The sequence below is a fragment of the Homo sapiens genome, chromosome 6 (genome assembly GCF_000001405.40).
Source record: "Homo sapiens chromosome 6, GRCh38.p14 Primary Assembly".
In the NCBI taxonomy this organism is placed as follows: Eukaryota; Metazoa; Chordata; class Mammalia; order Primates; family Hominidae; genus Homo; species Homo sapiens.
The window spans coordinates 10,345,701-10,365,312 of record NC_000006.12 but is presented as its reverse complement, the minus strand read 5'-3'; the positions used below and the strand labels follow the sequence as shown (position 1 = coordinate 10,365,312).

The window sequence follows — 19,612 nt, the reverse complement described above, 5'->3', positions numbered from 1 at the left end:
ACACTGGCTGCTGCCTCATCTGAAATCAGCACATGCCATGGAGGAAGGAGTCCTGCTTTGTCGCATCTTCTATCCTAGGGTTTAATTGTTGCTGAATGAGTAACTCAAGCATTTGTACAGGCTCCCTAAGACTCCTGTAGCAATGGACAAAGCCCAGGGACATAATTGAATCTGGAGATTTCTGGGGCCTTGTTTTGAAAAGACTTGAAATGCATGTAGGAAGAAAGGCACAAAAATAAATGTTCAGGTGTCTCTGCTGTGGGAAAGAAAAAAACGCACACCAGGTTTGGGGGTTTTAGGATCTACCAACAAATCATTATCTTAAAGGTCAAGAGCCTTGATCTAAAAATCACTAGAAAAATGAGATCAATGAACCAGTAAAATGGGCCAGATTCTTTCACTGTGAATATGAACTTTCAATGTCTCACTGAAACATGAGATATTTTCTGGCTCTGTCCCTTCATGTTCTAAAAGATACGAAGTCTTTAGCACGCAGAAGGTAACCTAAAAGCCTGAACCATTGAAGAATAGTCCTGGAAGTAGCCTCCTGCCTTAAATCACAGATCACAGCTATCAATGAAGGCTTTATTCTGCACCTGAGCCTTCACTGGTAGAATGTGTTATACTCTTGTAGGCACCCAATAGTCCCATAGATTTTTTTTTAATATATATATATAAACATAGAAATTGACCCTTCTGGTGATAAAGCTTGAAACTTAATTTGTTTTATCTGAGTTCCTTTCTCAGGAAAGGATGCTCAGGCTCCTCAAAAAAAGTATCAAAGAACTGAAACTCACCAGATCACCACAATGAGATGCCAGACCCCTCATTTATCATGATTGCTACCTTGCCCCTCCCTAGTTCTTGTTTTCTTACACATTGTAACATTTCTTCCCTCCTACACAAATCTCTAGTTTTAGTAGTTTAGTTGGTCAAGGAAATGGATTTGAGACAGATTACCCATCTCCTTGGCTGCAACGCCCAATTAAAGCTTTTTTCCTGGGCAATACTATTGTCTCCACCATTGGCTTTCTCTGCGGCAAGCAACAGGGGTTTTGGAAACACAAAGAAGAAAACTTCCCAAGTGTATTGTTACAGGACTGAGTACCACGGGAGAAATGGAAAAGACAGACATCATCCCTGGATGAATCAGAAATGACATGAATCACATCGCCAAGACCTGTTGGAGGAGTTTGGGATCATGACAGATGAACTACTCAGAACCTTGGGAAACATAGATAGACGATGATGAGCCCAATTTCTCCACCTCTGGCAGAGGGCGATGGGGTTGTTACAACTTGTGCTGACAATGAGGAAAAGTCTCCCCTCCTCATCCGCCCCTCAGTGAAATTATAGCACATTTAGTTGCTGTTTTAACTGGGGGCTTCTGTGTGGTGGAAGCATTGGAAACCGCCACAGCACGTCTGTTTGCTGTGCCTTTTCCTTTTCTCTTTGCTTGTGCTGGTTTTTGTTTTTGTTTTTGTTTTTTTAGATGGAGTCTTGATCTGTCACCCAGGCTGGAGTGCAGTGGCTTAATCTCAGCTCGCTGCAACCTCCGCCTCCCAGGTTCAAGTGATTCTCCTGCCTCAGCCTCCCTAGTAGCTGAGATTACAGGCGCACGCTGCCACGCCCAGCTAATTTTTTGTATTTTAGTAGAGACAGGGTTTCACTGTGTTGCCCAGGCTGGTCGCAAACTCCTGGGCTCAGGCAATCCGCCGGCCACGGCCTCCCAAAGTGCTGGGATTACAGGCATGAGCCACCGCACCCGGCCGCAAACTGTGCTCGTTTTAAAAGATTCCTCCCAATCCATAATCTCGTACATGAATATTCCAGCATCTATTGATCTTTCCCTAGTTTGATTCTAGAACTAATGATCATGGTACCCCTCACCATGGCTGTCTGTTTTATCATGTGTGTGTCCCATCTTTTCTAGCCGGTTTGCAGTTTCTACTGGTAGAAACTATATTTAATTTAATTTTTGCTTGTTAGGTTTTCCTTTTAGGGCCTTTCCCATAGGATGAGTAAGTTAAAGAACTAATACATGTTTGATTTTTTTCTATATATCACCCTTGGAAATTCTATTTTTTTGATGATGTGAGACAGTCCCCACGTCCTCCCTTGAATGTTTTTTTGAGACTCTTTTAAAACAAAACAGAACAAAACTCATGTCCCAGTTTTTGTTTTATTTTGTTTTGTTTTGAGACAGTCTTGCCCTGTCACCCAGGCTGGAGTGCAATGGTGCCAACTTAGCTCACTGCAACCTCCACCTCCTGGGTTTAAGCAATTCTTGTGCCTCAGCCTCCTGAGTAGCTGAGATTACAGGCATATGCCACCACTCTTGGCTAATTTTTTTTGTATTTTTATTGGCCAGGCTGGTCTCAAACTCCTGGCTTCAACTGATCCTCCCTCCTTAGCCTCCCAAAGTGCTGGGATTACAGACATGAGTCATTGTGCATAGCCAAATCCCAGTTTTTGATTCAGAAAGCGTGATCATGGTGTCTTTTCATAGCTATTCTCCAATATATCAATTTTTATCAAAGGATTGATTGCTGAACAATTTCCAAGTGTGTTTTAACGGCCAATAGCTCTCCTCTTACAGGAGAGGCAAACACTATGGTCCACACTGACCCTTGCTCTCCTAGTCAGCAAATTGTATTATCATCATCTAGAAAGGTGAGTACCATGATAATTACTTTCTAACAAGAAAAGCCTGAGGTCGCCTCTCTTAAAACACTGTGCTACTGTGTTGGTTTCTGTCGATCAGCAGGACATGCATTTTCAGTTGTTCCCAGGAATGTTGTTGTTTTTTTTGCTGATGTGGTTTAACTTATCATCAATGACTCTTATGTCTCAAGGATACAGCCAGAGTCTGGGGTCTGGAGCTTTGGGTGACCCCACCTTAGGGTGAGGCCCCTACTACTCAACTGAAACTTTGACCTAATTTACACTAACCTTTGTATAAAGCAGAGGCTGCTGCTGGCTGCACAAGAGAATGCAGGAATAGGCCAAGAAAGCATTTCTTCTTGGTTCAAACGTCTTGAATCCACCTGGCTGTGAAGGTAGACATGTGGATAAAGTTTTATACAATGGGTTTTAATCTTGCACAAACCAGAATCCTTTTGAGAGTGAAAAGAGATACTAAAAACAATTTTTTAAAAAAATTAATTGACCTACAATAGGAGCAAGCTGAGACTATCCCAGGAAATATAACATTTGAAAGCTCGGAACCTTCTCTAAATAACAACTCACAGATGCATTTGCTCACAGAATTGTGCACAGAAGTCTTGAGGTTTCATAGAGACCTCCTGAAACCAACAGAGGAATCCACCTGGACTGGAGAGAGGAATCAAAGACAAAAAATCCCTGAATTGAAAATTCTGTAGTTTACTTTGTGCCAGAAATCTTGCTATCTGTAAACATTTTAGCCTAGGCAACATAAGCAAGACTCTGTCTCTGCAAAAAAATAAAAACATTGGCCGCGTGTGGTGGTGTGCACCTATAGTCCCAGCTACTGAGGAGGCTAAGGAAGAAGGATTGCTTGAGCCTGGAGGTTGAGGCTGCAGTGAGCCATGATAGTGCCTCTGCGCTCCAGCCTGAGCAACAATGCAAGACTCTGTCTCAAAACAACAACAAAAACTTTTGCTCATCCTTTCCACCACTCGGCATATATTTATTTATTTATTTATTTATTTATTTATTTATTTATTTATTTACTGAGACACAGTCTCACTCTGTCGCCCAGGCTGGAGTGCAGTGATGTGGTCATAGCTCACTGCAGCGTGGAGTTGCTGGGTTCAAGCAATCCTCCTGCCTCACATTCTCAAGCTAATGTTTTTATTTATTTTTATTTTGTAGAGACAGGATTTCCCTATGCTATCTAGACTGGTCTTGAACTCCTGGGCTCAAGCGATCTTCCCACCTCCACCTCCCAAAGTGTTTGGATTACAGGCATGAGCCACCGCACCTGGCCAACATACATTTATTGATCGCCTGCTACTTAAGTATTTTTCCGGATCATGGAAAGACAAAAATCATTTGAGTCCTTTCCCTTGCGGCACAATCCTTGTTTGAAAGGCGGATGATTGCAATGCTTCACTAGGAGTATTAGTAAAGTACTGCCATGGCTTAAGGAAGAACATCCTTCCTTAATTGAATTTCTGGATTCTCTTTTTGAGCCCATCTTATTTCTGGGGCTGGCAAAGGAGATGACACCTGAATTGAGTTTTGAAAGTTTAGAGATATGGGCTGGGCGCGGTGGCTCACACCTGTAATCCCAGCACTTTGGGAGGCTGAGGCGGGTGGATCACCTGAAGTTGGAAGTTCGAGACCCCCCTGGCCAACATGGAGAAACCCCCTCTGTACTAAAAATACAAAATTAGCCAGGCATGGTGGTACATGCCTGTAATCCCACCTACTCAGGAGGCTGAGGCAGGAGAATTACTCGAACCTGGGAGACAGAGGTTGCGGCGAGCCGAGATTGCGCCATTCATTGCACTCCAGCCTGGGCAACAAGAGTGAAACTCCATCTCAAAAAAAAAAAAAAAAAAAAAAGAAAGAAAGAACGTTTAGAGATACATTGCTAGTGACAGAAGACTGATAAAAATATCCAACGGGTGTGAAGCAACCAGTCCTTTTCATTTGTTCCAGATGCAGAAACGAGACTAAATCTCACAAGCTTGAAGACCAGTACCATTGCTAGGCAGCATAGGACAGGGGTTAAGAATGCAGCTTCTTCTTCTTCTTCTTTTTTTTTTTTTTGAGACGGAGTCTTGCTCTGTCGCCAGGCTGGAGTACAGTGGTGCGATCTTGGTTCACTGCAACCTCTGCCTCTCGGGTTCAAGCGATTCTCCTGCCTCACCTGCCCGAGTAGCTGGGACTACAGGTGCGTGCCACCATGCCCAGCTAATTTTTTTATTTTTAGTAAAGATGGGGTTTCACCATGTTGGCCAGGATTGTCTCGATCTCTTGACCTCATGATCCACCCACCTCTGCCTCCCAAAGTGCTGGGATTCCAGGCGTGAGCCACCGTGCCCAGCCAAAAATGCAGCTTCTTAATCCAGTGACCAGGTGTAATGGTTAGTTTTATGTGTCAACTTGATGAGACCATAGTACCTAGCTATGTCATTAAACACTAGTTTAGATGTTGTTGTGAAGGTATTTTATAGGCGTATTTAACATCTGCGTCAGTTGACTTTAAGTAAAGCAGATTATCCTCCGTACTCTGGGTTGGCCTCACCCACTCATTTGAAGGCCTTAAGAGCAGAAACCTGGGAAAGAAGAACTTCTGAGCCTGGGCAACATAGCGAGACCCTGTCTCTACGAAAATTAAAAATGAAAAAATCACCCTGGTATGGTGGCATGCACTTGTAATCCCAGCTACTCCAGAGGCCGAGGCAGGAAGATTGCTTGAGCCCAGGAATTCAAGGCTGCTGTGAGCTGTGATTGCACCATTGTACTCCAGCCTGGGAGACACAGCAAGACCCTAGGAAGGAAGGAAGGAAGGAAAGAAGGAAGGAAGAAAGGAAAGAAGGAAAGAAAGATGGAAGGAAGGAAGGAAGGAAGGAAGGAAATAAAGAAGGAGAGAAGGAAAGGAAGAAAGAAAGAAGCTATAGGACTGTAGCATCAACTTCTGCCTGAATTTCTAGCTTGGTGAACTGCCCTACAAATTTCAGATTGTCAGCCTCTACAATAGCATGAGCCAATTTCTTAAAATACATCTTATCTATATCTATTTTCTATTGGCTCTGTTTCTCTGGAGAACCCTCTGCTACATCAGGGTTGGGGATTGTGTTTGGATCCTGGATCTCAATTCTGATTTCCATACTTCCTAGCTGCATGACTTTAGACAAATTACTTCATTTGCCAAAATATCAATCTCTTCACATGTAAAATTAGATAACAGTAATTCCCTTACAGGGTTGCTGAGAGGATCAAATGAGCTAATGCATTTAAAGTACTTAGTAAATTCCCTAGCCTGGGTTAAGGCTTCAGAAATGTTAGCTCCCATTCTATTTTTGGTTAAACTTTTTTTTGGCCTTATTTTCATTAATCAGAGGTATGGAGATAATACAAAATTGTGCATCCTCAGTCCTAGGGGGCAGAATGTCATGTTTGTTTTTGGAAGTGCCTTTGACCCAGCATTTTCCATCCGCCATATGAACAGCCACAAGATTGTTCTGCAGCTGTCACTTCACCAGCAAAGTGGGTCACCCCCAAGTGGGCTGAGGAAGTGATTCTGGGAAGCACAGTCTGGACACCGGGACTGGTCACTGGGGAGCAGCAGCTGTAGAGAGATTGCTGCAGTGACCCACGGCTCAGGGGACACATTAGGATTCTGTTTGAACCCACACATTGTGTAACCCAGGAAGCAAGAAGTGGTGCCCAAACAGCACTGGACTCAGAATACATTAAGGCTACTCACCATCAGCTGTCCCTTGGCTGAAATGGACTGCTTTGCAGAGGTGCCCATCTAATATGTACTGTGTTGAGCCATTCAACACATGTTGGTGGGTCACCTTGGTGCATTTGTTTGTGCATATGCTTGAAGTGTACAGAAGGGTCTGTATGGCATAAGTTCGCTGAGTGAAAAAGCCCAGTGTCCAGTCTATGATATCAAGTGCTGTGCCATTCCTGGTCATTAGAGAGATCTATGCCCATCGGGAAAATGGAGGGGCAGGCCCCAGATGTACGTTTATACAGAGTAGAGTGATTTGGTTGGAATGGAGGCTTCGTCAGAGAGGAAAATTAGAGAGGCAGTTCAGTTCAGTGATGCCCCTGCATATGTGCTGGCTAATTAGCATGGCCCTGGAAGGGGTGGCTGGTTGTTTTTGACAGTGGTGATATTTGTTTAGGGTTGCTTGAGTATAGATCAGGGAGGCTGTTGTTACCTGGAAAGGGAACTAGTGAAACCACAGTTTTCAGTTTTTGGGGGATGGTTTTATATAACAGGGACTAACTTGGCAAAAATGGGAGGCCAAGTCTCTCTTCCCCAAATACGTTTATTTATTTATTTACTTACTTATTTACTTATTTACTTTGAGATGGAGTCTTGCTTTGTTGCCCAGGCAGGAGTACAGTGGTGCAATCTTGGCTCACTGCAAACTCCGCCTCCCAGGTTCAAGAGATTCTCCTGCCGTAGCCTCCCAAGTAGCTGGGTTTATAGGTGTGTGCCACCGCACCTGGCTAATTTTTGTATTTTTTAGTGGAGACGGGGTTTCACCATGTTGGCCAGGCTGGTCTCGAACTCCTGACCTCAGGTGATTTGTCTGCCTCAGCCCCCCAAAGTATTGGGATTACAGGCATGAGCCACTGCCCTGGCCCTCAAATACTTTTAAAAGCACAAATGCCTAGTAAGTAAGTAAAATTATGATTAGTGGAAAATCCTTTTTTTTTTTTTGATACAAAAAGTTGAAATAAGGTGACCAGGTATTTACTTTTGTTTGGGGGGGTGGGGGACAGAGTCTTGCTCTGTCACCCAGGCTGGAGTGCAGTGGCATGATCTCAACTCACTGCCACCTCTGCCTCCTAGGTTCAAGTGATCATTTTGCCTCAGCCTTCCAAGTAACTGAGACTACAGGCATGCACCACCACACCTGGCTATTTTTTGTATTTTTGTAGAGACGGGGTTTCATCATATTGGCCAGGCTGGTCTCAAACTCCTGACCTCAGGTGATTCTCCCACCTCGGCCTCCCAAAGTGCTGGTATTACAGGCATGAGCCACCGCACCCAGCCTAGGTATTTACTTATATTCCAGCCCCCAACTCCTTCCGGCCTAGAGCCTGGCCTGGTACTGCTCAGAATCTGATTGTGATTGAAGGGATCCACTCCAGTCTGTATGGGCCCAGGGCCACACATCCTCCTGGGTCAGACTGGACAAGCTTAAGAACAGTCTTGGGCCAGCAGGTGATTTTAGGCCTGTGCATCAAACACTTCAGCTCTCCTACTATTTGAATACACAGTAGGATTGCACTTCTCAGATCCCTTGCAGTTGGAGAGGGCCATGTGGCCAGTTCTGGCCAGTGAGAAGGAATGGAGGTGACCTGAGTCGCTTCTGAGCTGGGCAGCATAATTACCTCTGTGATACCCTCTGGGATTCACTTTTCCTCTGGAATAGCCACTGGCAATGTTTAGGATGGTCATTTTTCCGTTGGCCTGTGTTCCTAAGTGGTTACAGTGAGAAGACCCCATCGGATGACCAGAAATGGACCTATGGTATGCTCAAAGAATAAATCCTTTTCTGAACCATCCATGGAGATTTTGGGATTGTCCATTGTGCAGCATAACCCAATCTGTCCTGACTGATTGGGAAACCTGATCATTGAATGATCATAGAATGTCATATAACCAAACTTTCTTGCATTTCTTAGTTGTATTTGCATCCTGAAAGTTAGTCTCACATTCCCCTAAAAATGTTCAGTGGTCCTTTCATCTGGAGCTTCCTCAGAATATAACAGATACAGACCCTTGATAGACCTCTTCATCTTCTTCTAGAAGTGACTATTTGAGAACTTGTTTGGAATTTGGCCAGGGTCTAGAAGTGAGAAGGCAAAGTAATTTTCCAGTTACCAGTTATCAGAACTTGAAGGGATCCTTGCAACTGATTGTCCAAAACTTTAATTTTACCAAGAAGAAAATCAAAACTCATAGAAACCAGGAGACTAATTTAACTAAGGTCACAGCTTGCTAGTTGGTTATTAGTAGAGACAGGACCAGGACTCAGGGCCATTGGTTACATTTTATTTTCTGTGTAACGAAGGGACTATGTATAAAGGTCAAAAAGGAGTTTGCTGGCCTCATAGTCAGCTCTGCCCAATAGAACCATAATGCAAGCTATCAATGAGCAATTTTTTGGCAGCTACAGAGAAAAGTATAAAGAAAAAAAAAAAGTTAATTTTAATAATCTATTTTATTTAAACCAATATGTCAAAAATATTATTACCAAAGGGATGATTTTAAAAAAGAAAAAAATTTAAAAAGCCAAAAATAGTATTACATTTTAATATGTAATCAATATAAGAATTGTTAATCAGATATGTCACTTTGTTGCACTAAGTCTTTCAACTCTGATGTGTATTTTGTTTTAATTTTTTTTTTGAGACAGAGTCTCAGTCTGTTGCCCTGGCTAGAGTGCAGGGGCGCAATCTCAGCTCGCTGCAACCTCCCGCTCCTGGGTTCAACCGATTCTCTTGCCTCAGCCTCCTGCGTAGCTGGGATTACAGGCACACACCACCACGCCCAGCTAATTTTTGTATTTTTAATAGAGACGAGGTTTTGTCATGTTGGCCAGGCTGGTCTCAAACTCCTGACCTCAGGTGATCTGCCATCTTGGCCTCCCAAAGTGCTGGGATTACAAGTGTGATCCACTGCGCCCAGCCCTGATGTGTATTTTACACTTAAAGCATATCTCATTTGGACTAGCCACATTTCAAATGCTCAACAGCCATATGTGGCCAGTGCCTATCCTATGGGACAGCACAGCTCTAAGTTCTTGGAGGGCAGGGGGATTTCAACTTAGTTACTTTTGTTAAATACCTGACTTTGTGTCACACATGATGACATGTTTCTCATTATCTTCATGTGGATACCAGACACCATGATACTTGGCCCCTTGTCACTTCATAGGGATGTGAAGGCAATTAATGAGATCATGTCTGAATTCAGCAGAAGGTTCTGTCTAAATTCAAGGTGCTATTCTCTTTTATGCATCTGTGGGGAAGTCCCATTAGCACCCATGGGAACTATGCATGTTACTGTAATGGAAAAACAAACATTCCTCATCAGGCAAGGAAAAATACTAGGTTACTAACAGGGGTGCGCTCTTCCGTGTGGGTGGGGACTTTCTGCTGAGAGGTGACGGAGTTATAAAGTCTTGTTGTGCTATCACATGGGTGAAGAGCCAGATCTCGGCAGGCTGCTGGGCAGGGGAGGTGGGAAAAGTAAACCAGTGTGCAGTCGGGGAGTGGGATGATATAGACTATTGTGTTCAGACCTCACCTGTGCCCACTGTCTCCTCTTGTGGCAGGGCAGGGCACTAAAGGAACAACAGGCAGAATGCTGCTTTTCTAGTGTTCAGAATGGCTAGTTCAGGTTTACTTTTCTGGCTTAGTTTGGACAAGCTCCTGTTAATCAAGCTGTGGGATGGAACTTCCGGGGACAGCAAAAGGTGCTATTTTCCCTCCTGCAGGAACTCTCTTCAAATTGCAAAAAGTACAAGTTACCCCCACAGAATGCTGGGAATCATGCTTGTTACCTTCTTGCTTCAATCCTCTAGTGTATTTGGTAAGCACTTTAGAAGCCTTTAAAATAGTACTCTAAGGCCAGGTAACGTGGTGTGCCTCTAGTCCCAGCTACTAGGGAGGCTGAGGCGGGAGGATCACTTAAGCCCAGGAGTTTGAGGCTGCAGTGAGCTATATTATACCTATGAATAGTCAACACACTGAAGCCTGGGCACCACAGGAAGATTCTCTCTCCACAAAAATTAAATTAAATTAAGTTATTTTAAAGAGTGCTCTAAGCCATGGGTGGGCGTGGCTTGCCTTTTCAAGCTAGGCTCTATCTTTATATAAATGAATTGAGCCACGCCTCAACACCCCACTATCCCCAATCAGCTTTTCAGAGTTATCACATACACATACACACGCGCACGCGCGCACACACACACACACACACACACACACACATTCTTTTTAGCCTTGGAGCACAGGTAAGGCTGGGGAAGAAAGATTTTGGGAAGTCTGATTGTGTATGATTTTTGCTCCTAATAGCTACTTTTAATTTAACACCTATTCTCTGCCAGACACTTTGCATGTACTATTTCTCCTCCACATAACTGCCCTTAAAGGATATTATTATCTCTATTTTACAGATGAAAAAAACTGAGCTCCAGAGAACTTAAGTAACTTGTACAAGGACATAAGAAAATAATAATCTGAAACTTGGAAATAAGCAAAAGAAGAATGACTGCCGGCATCTCTTTTTAGTATCATCAGAAGCTCTACCTAACAGGCCATCCTACTTCCAAGGATTATTTAAATCTCTAGGGAGAGTACCTTTGATTAATTATTTCTTATGATTAGGGCCTATATTCTGTGAAAATACAGAGTCCAAGTTTTAACTTTGTAGATTATTAAATTATAAATTGTATTTCTCCCATAGAGATGCAAATTATTTCTTTCTATTATAAAAGATAATCCCAAAGGTCATAATTTTATCGACCAGTAAGACATTACCCAGTTTTATATCTAACAAGCTCATTTCAACTTTTTTTTTCTGATAGGATAAATAAATACCCATTTTCCCCTCCCTCCCTCCCTCCCTCCCTCCCTTCCTTCCTTTTTTTTTTTTTTTTTTTTTTTCCGGAGTCTCGCTCTATCTCCCAGGCTGGAATGCAATGGCATGATCACAGCTCACTGTAGCCTCAATCTCCAGGCTCAAGTGATCCTCCTGCCTCAGCCTCTGTAAGTAACTGGGACCACAGGCACATGCTACAATGCTCATGCCACCACGCACAACTAATGGAAAAAAATTTATAGAGAGAGGCCTTCCTATGTTGCCTAGGCTGGTCTCAAACTCCTGGGCTCAAAAGTGATTCTCCCACCTTGGCCTCCCAAAGTGCTGGGATTACAGGTGTGAGCCACTATGCCCAGCCAGTAAATGCCCATTTTCTTTTCTTTTCTTTCTTTTTTTGGAGACGGAGTCCAGCTGTATCGCCCAGGCTGGAGTGCAATGGCGTGATCTTGGCTCACTGCAACCTCTGCCTCCCAGGTTCAAGTGATTCTCCTGCTTCAGCCTCCGGAGTAGCTGGGATTACAGGCTCCCGCCACCAGGCCTGGCTAATTTTTGTATTTTTAGTAGAGATGGGGTTTCACTGTGTTGGCCAGGCTGATCTCAAACTCCTGACCTCGTGACCCGCCTGTGTTGGCCTCCCAAAGTGCTGGGATTACAAGTGTGAGCCACCGTGCCCGGCTGACCCATTTTCAAATGCTATTAGAATCACCTTTGCCATCTTATTTGTTCCCTCATTAATTAGTTAAACAAATATTTTACATGAGCTCATTATATGTTCATATGAGGGTGAACGTAAAGAATTATGAAGGGTTGAAGGTTTTACCCTACCTGTAAGTTAACAAGTTAGCCTGTCATGGTTTAATGGATGCTGGCAGAAGACATGAAACTCCTGGGTCAGAGACAAAGGACTTTATGATGAATGGTACAGCAAGCAACATGAACACCAGTGTATTTGTGCCAGTTCCCCTTTCCTCTGCAAGTCCCATAAGGGTGATGTGGATAGACCTAAGTAGATGCCTATACATTCAGTGTGTCACATTATACTAAACTTAAGGAACTTGAATCTTTTATAATGTTTAGTAAGCCTGATTCCCCTTTTCTCCAGAGTGAGACACTATCTCTACCTTCCAAAGCTATTTGTTATGTAAACATCCTTGTAAGGGCAGCTTGGAACAAAGTACCTTGCTTGTAAGATATATAGAAACTTAAGAGACCCATGGAGAATTATCTCCCAACAGCCAATTTTAAAAAATTATACCCTGGCCAGGGTGTAACAGCCTGTAAATGACCACGCCTGGATACTTCCTGGCTGCAATGTCTGGGCTGTTTCCACCGTACTGAGAAAACCCAAGTCCCACTGCATGTGACCAACAAAAGAATCCCCCACTACTATTAGCTCTTTGTATCTTTTCCAACCTAGGGTGGAAGTGGCCTTGGTTTGAAAAAGATGCATCAAAGCACAAAAAACGTGGTAATTAATCAGTTTTATTTCCAAAGCCCTACATGTCTTGAGATGCTTAAAATACTTATTGTGATAAAATTTTAATAGAACCCTAAAACTACAAAAACTTTAAGGCAATTAAAACACTAGTCTGTGAGCAATTTAAGAGCAGGGACCATGTTTTATTTGTTTTTTGAATCGTTGGAACCTAACACAGTGTCTGGTACCTAGTAGGTGTTCACCAAAATTTTTGTCGAATTAGTGAATAAATAAATTAAGAGGGAGGAACACTCCTGTTTACCTCTTTCTTATCCAGTTTCTCTTTGGTCCTTTCCTCTTCTAGAAAACAAAGCAGATATCTGTTGAACTCATTTATGCCCTTTGCTTCAGCTGCTTGTTCCAATAACTTATTCCATATGTTTATTTCCTTTAGTGTGAAAAGATTTGGCTCAAGTTTTCTTTTTTATTTATAGTTTCCTGAGTTTTCAGTCCTGTCCCTGCTCGCCTGTTCCCTTTCCCATACACACACACCCGGGAGTGTGAAGGAGCAAGTGCCGACAGCTACAACCGCGATTCAGAGGTTCTTGAAAGGGTTGCTGTTGTTTCTGGACAGTCATCCTGGGCGGCTGTCCCCAGGCCAGCGAGGCCGACTGCTTAGCCTGCAGCCTGGGCCGCACTCCTGAGACACTCTGCCCCCATCTGACTGGCCACGTGCCCTCTCGCTCCTCAGGTGAGTGCAGCCCATATGGTGATAGAGCGAAATGGGGACAGACCCACTGAGCTCCCACAGGGGCCTAGAAGTACTTGACAAAAGGCCGAGCTTGGAAGGGCACGGTGAGTCAATCTGCTGGCCCAGAGGAAAACCAGAGATTAGAGATCTACGCTTAATTAATAGGCGGTGAGGAAGCCATTTCCAGACTCACCCTGTACTTTCAGAAGCAAATTGTGAATTATTGCCTCGAGAGATAGGCTTTAGAGTGTAAAGTCCATTTTTGTGTCAGTTGAGGAGCCTAAACAAATGTTGAATGGCACCACTTTCTCTTTTTCTTTATTTCCTTTTTTTTTTGAGACAGGATCTCATTCTGTTGTCCAGGCTGGAGTCCAGCGATGCAATCATGGCTCAGTGCAACCTTGAACTCCCGGGCTCAAGCCATCCTCCCACCTCAGCCTCCCAAGTAGTTGGGACTATAGGCATGCACCATCACAACTGGCTAATTTTTAAATTTTTTGTAGAGAGGGGGCTCCCTATGTTGCGTAGGCTGGTCTCGAACTCCTAGCCTCAAGCAATCCTCCCGCCTCGGCCTGGGATTACAGGCGTGAGCCACTGTGCCCAGCCTAATGACACATTTTCTGATTGGACATTAGAATGCCCAAGGGTCGAGCCTAGCAGTGTGCTCCTTCTGGGTGGTTTAAGGGAGGCAGATGCTCTGTGGCTTCAGGGATGTGTAGCACACCTAAGAGCCACAGAGTCACCCTTTCCTAGTACCCTATGAGGCCACATGTAAAGTGCCTCAGTCTGGGGTCATCTTGTTTTCTCTCTTTTTTTTTTTCTTTTTAATCCCCATTTAGCTCCAAGCAAGAGAAGGAACTGGCCCTTCTTTTGCTTGTGCAAGGGTGGATAATGACTTGCATATTCCAGGAGAGTGGTGAGGCTCACCACCTTGATAGCTACATTTTGTCTGGGCTTCTCAAAGAAGGGAGGACGAGGAACAGGTTTTTGGCAGGTTTTGTTCCAGTTAGGGCTGGGCAGCAGTGAAACAGGCTGCCTGTCAAGTCCTGAGTTGTCCAAACTGCAGAAGGAATTCTGCTTGATATAGGAGGCTGGAATAGATTATGTCTAAAGTCTTTTCTAAAAGCACGGCTGAGGGTTTCCCCAAGTTCAGCTTTCTTATAGGAGGGCAGTATGGTGTGTTGATCAAAAGCAGTGGCTGAGGCCAATCAGTCTAGATTTCAACTCTGCTACTTATAGCCTATGCTGTGTAGCCTTAGGCGAAAGTCTGTGCCTTCGTTTTTTCATCTGTAAAATAGGCTCAATGACAGCAGAATCTATTTCATGAGAGCTATGCTGCCTCATCTCATGGAGCTGGTGTAAAAAATAAGTGGATTAGGCTAGGCACTGTGGCTCACGCCTGTAATCCCTGCACTTTGGGAGGCTGAGGTGGTTGGATGACTTGAGCTCAAGAGTTCAAGACCAGCCTGGGCAACATAGTGAAACCCCATCTCTACTAACAGTACAAAAAATTAGGCTGCTGTGGTGGCGTGCACCTATAATCCCAGCTACTCAGGAGGCTGAGGTGAGAGGATGCTTGAGTCTGGGAGGTGGAGGTTGCAGTAAACTGAGATCGTGCCACTGCATTCCAGCCTGGGTGACAGAATGAGACCTTGTCTCCAAAAAAAAAAAAAAAAAAGGAGAAAGAAGAAAAAAAGAAATAAGTGAGTTAATACACAGAGTGTGTAGAACGATACCTGGCCCAGAGTCTGAGATTGATAAAGAATCACTATTATTAACTGTTTAAAACAAACGGGAGCTGGGCACGGTGGCTCACGCCTGTAATCCCAACACTTTGGGAGGCCGAGGAGGGTGGATCACCTGAGGTCAGGAGCTTGCGACCAGCCTGGCCAGCATGGTGGCCTGTTTCTACTAAAAATACAAAAACTGGCCAGGTGTGGTGGCAGGCCCCTGTAATCCCAGCTACTTGGGAGGCTGAGACAGGAGAATCACTTGAACCCGGGAAGCAGAGGTTGCGGGGAGCCGAGATTGTGCCATTACACTCCAGCCTGGGCGACAAGAGTGAAACTCCGTCTCAACAACAACAAATGAACAAACAAAAAGGTTCTGAATTCCCATCTTCCCTGCGATAAGTGGTGGGGTGTTTTCTGTCTTTTTTCCTCGTAACACATCCCCCCAGATTCATGGGAACTGAGCAGGGCAGCTGGGCAGAGGAGGGAGAAGCAGAGACGTGATGTGACAGCAGGAAGGTGGGAAAGAATCAGCTCTATCCTCCTACACAGTGCAAGTCACAGCTGCAACCAACCTTCTTGTTTGCAGTGGCAAAGGAGGAAGAGGCAGTGAGATGGCAAATAGGCAAGGCCACCATCAGTCATTGTCGTCACTGTCACCATCGTCTTGCAGATCAGCCACAATCCTGCCTGCACAGAACAGGTACTCAAGAAATGCTGTTCTCTCCCCAGGGCTGATAACTCCCCGATCTCCACTTTTCAGTCGGCTTCTCTTTTACCTATTCCGGGGCTGCTGTTCCAAAAGCTCTCCAATACCCTCACTCCACTCTTGGCCTCACTCCTAACAGGTTATATCACCTCCCTATGTACAGAGGCCATAGAGACCACTGGGAGAACCACTCAATGTCCCTACTTTTTTTTTTTTTTTTTTTTGAGACGGAGTCTCGCTCTGTCTCCCAGGCTGGAGTGCAGTGGCGCGATCTCGGCTCACTGCAAGCTCCGCCTCCCGGGTTCACGCCATTCTCCTGCCTCAGCCTCCGGAGTAGCTGGGACTACAGGCGCCCGCCACCACGCCCGGCTAATTTTTTGTATTTTTAGTAGAGACGGGGTTTCACCGTGTTAGCCAGGATGGTCTCGATCTCCTGACCTCATGATCCGCCCGCCTCTGCCTCCCAAAGTGCTGGGATTACAGGCGTGAGCCACCGCACCCGGCCAATGTCCCTACTTTCTTTTTCTTTTTCTTTTCTTTCTTTCTTTCTTTTTTCTTTTTTTCTTTTCTTTTTTTTTTTTTTGAGATGGAGCCTCACTCTGTTGCCCAGGCTGGAGTACAGTGGTGATCTTGGCTCACTGCAACCTCTGCCTCCTGGGTTCAAGCGGTTCTCCTGTCTCAGCCTCCCAAGTAGCTGGGATTACAGGCATACGCCACCATGCCCAACTAATTTTTGTATTTTTAGTAAAGATGGAGTTTCACCATGTTGGCCAGGCTGGTCTCGAACTCCTGGCCTCAGGTGATCCACCTGCCTTAGTCTCCCAAAGCGCTGGGATTACAGGTGTGAGCCACCTCGCCCGGCCAGTCCCTACTTTCAAACCTGGTTTTCCCATGCTGTAACTCGTTAATCCATGTGTCTGAGAAAATAGCAGTTCCTCTCCTCTCTGAGGCTAAGCTCTCTGCTACCCGGGCATGGCGCGTGAATCCCTTCTGCTTCATTTGCCACAGCCACTGCCTCCTATGCTAACTGTGAGAGCCCTCTTTTCTGAATATTCTATTGTTTCCTCTCCTTTAGCTCCCTCCTTGGAGCTGACAAACATGTCCATGTCTCCTTAAACCTAAAATCATCTACATGCCCGTACTGTCCCATCTCAAGATACTACTCTGTCTCCTTTCTATGTTGGGAAGTTTCTTGAGCAAGGAATTCCTTTCTCTTTTCGTCCTTGGGTCATTTAATGCACTTATGTGGCTTTGACCAACATTGAGATCTCAGTTGTGACCTCTCCCTGTCATCTGCTCCTGAGGTTCCGTGGGCGTTTCCAGTGTGATGCATCCCAAACCAAGCACATCATGTTCCTCCCTGAACCAGGTGATCTTCCTCCTGCTCCCTCTTCCATTTGGAATACTGCCGTCACCACCTGTGCAGTCTCTCCGACCAGAAACCTCAGTGTCATCCTGATTCATCCCCTCCCTCAGCCTCCTCATCGAATGAGTCACAGAGAGATTTTACTGGAAGATAATTCCCAGCATGTGCTTGCTGAGTCCTCTCAGACTTGTTTCTGAAATCTGACTTCCTACCCTTCACTCCATTGCCCCTCTCTGTTCAGCTCCTCACCTTTCCCTTGAGCTACTGCACCAGTCCAGCCACCCTCTCCCTTCCACCAACCTCTCCCCTTGCGTGGGCCTCAGTGTGTCCTGCTGAAATACGCACATTGACATCCTAACCCCCAAGGTGATGGTGTTAGGAGATGGGGCCCTTGGGAGGTGATTAGGTCAGAAGGGCAGAGCCCTCATGAATGCGATCGGTGCCTTTATAGAAGAGTCCTCAGAAAGCTGCCTTGCCCTTTCCACCATGTGAGGGCACAATGAGAAGGCACTGTCTATGACAACCAAGAAGTGTGTCCTCACCAGACACCAAATCTTTCTTTGTTTTCTTGAGACAGAGTCTTGCTCAGTCACCCAGGCTGAAGTGCAATGGTGCTATCTTGGCTCACTGCAACCTCCGCCTCCCAGGTTCAAGTGATTCTCCCACCTCAGCTTCCCAAGTAACTGGGATTACAGGCACCCACTACCAGGCCCGTGTAATTTTTGTATTTTTTTGTAGAGATGGGGTTTCACCATGTTCTCTAGTTTGGTCTTGAACTCCTGACCTGAAGTAATTCATGCACCTTGGCCTCCCAAAATGCTGGGATTATAGGCGTGAGCCACCGCGCCCAGCCACCAATCTATTGGTGCCTTGATCTTGAACAGCCCAGTCTCCAGAACTAAATTTCTGTTGTTTATAAGCTACCTAGCTTATAGTAGAGTTGACTCTTGAATGACATGGGTTTGAACTGCCTGGGTCCACTGATATGTAGATTTTTTTCAATAAATTTATTGAAAAAGTTTTTAGAGATTTGCAATAATTTGAAAAAACTTGCAAACTGCTGTAGCTTATATGGCAAATATAGGCAAAAAAAATACTGAAAAAATTAAGAAAAAGCTATGTCATGAATGCATAAATTCTATATAGATACTGGTCTATTTATTTGTTAATCAGCTTTATGTTATGGGTAAGGTGACGTGGTTTGGATCTGTGTTCCCACCCAAATCTCATATTCAGTTGGAATCCCCAGTGTTGGAGGTGGGGCCTGGTGGGAGGTGATTTGATCATGGGGACGGTTTCTAATGCTTTAGCACCTTCTCCCCAGTGCTGTTCTCATGATAGGGTTCTCACGAGATCTGATTGTGTGAAAGTATGTGGCACCTTCACCCTCTCTCTCTTCCTCCTGCCTCGACCACGTGACATGTTGTCTCCCTCTTCACCTTCCACCATGATTGTAAGTTTCCCGAGGCCTACCTAGAAGCCAACAGATGCTGCCATGCTTTGCTCTGTCGCCCAGGCTGGAGTACAGTGGTGCGATCTCGGCTCACTGCAACCTCTGCCTCCTGGGTTCGAGCGATTCTCCTGAGTAGATGGGATTACAGGTGTGCACAACCACTCCCAGCTAATTTTTGTATTTTTAGTAGAGACGGGGTTTCATCATGTTGGTCAGGCTGGTCTCGAACTCCTGACCTCATGATCTGCCCGCCTCGGCCTCCCAAAGTGCTGGCATTACAGGTGTGAGCCAACGCACCCGGCCAACCTCTTTTGTTTATAGGTATTTCTTTATAGCAATGCCAGAACGTACTACTACATAAGGCTTCTGGTCAACAGTAGGCTATTAGTAGTTAAGTTTTTGGAGAGTCAAAAGTTATACGTGGATTTTCTACTGCACAGGAGTTGGCACTCCAAACACCCCCATACAGTTCAAGGCTCAACTGTATTTTCTTATAGCAGCCCAAACAGGCTAAGAAAAGTCTATTCTCTAATCTGTTGATGATGTAATTTATTTAAGTGGAAATTCTTAAAATCTTCATGGGTTTTCTGAAGCCCTACAAAGTCAAGTCCCCACTCCTTAAATCCTGAATATGGCACATAAGGTTATTATATTTTCCCCTACAGACTCACACTCCCAGACCTCTGCAGCTTTGCTGGTGGGGTTCAGGCACGGGTACCCCACACTCCAGGCAAGTTGTACTTCCGGTCCTTTCCCATGCAGTCACCCCTCACCATTCCAGGCTTTTCATCCCTGCCCAAGGTCCTCTTAACTCTCTTCCTGACACATTAATTTTATTTCATTTCATGAAAAAAAATGGGTGTTTATTTGAAATTGCATATTATTTTGTATGATCT

General features: G+C 44.8%; 1 long non-coding RNA gene across 1 annotated transcript, besides 1 other annotated feature; it reads left to right on the top strand.

Annotated features, from left to right (window-relative positions):
- On the top strand, positions 13,219-17,350 carry LOC105374921 (uncharacterized). Its single transcript, XR_926459.3, has 3 exons — positions 13,219-13,458; positions 15,778-15,891; positions 17,267-17,350. It is a non-coding gene; the product is annotated as an uncharacterized LOC105374921 (long non-coding RNA).
- Positions 16,926-18,125: an enhancer, noted in NCBI's record as "MED14-independent group 3 enhancer chr6:10347421-10348620 (GRCh37/hg19 assembly coordinates)". NCBI's record gives its function as "activates an origin of replication core promoter dependent on BRD2, BRD4, P300/CBP and CDK7 cofactors, and independent of MED14, by STARR-seq in HCT116 cells {active_cell/tissue: HCT116}" and the evidence as "EXISTENCE:reporter gene assay evidence [ECO:0000049][PMID:35650434]".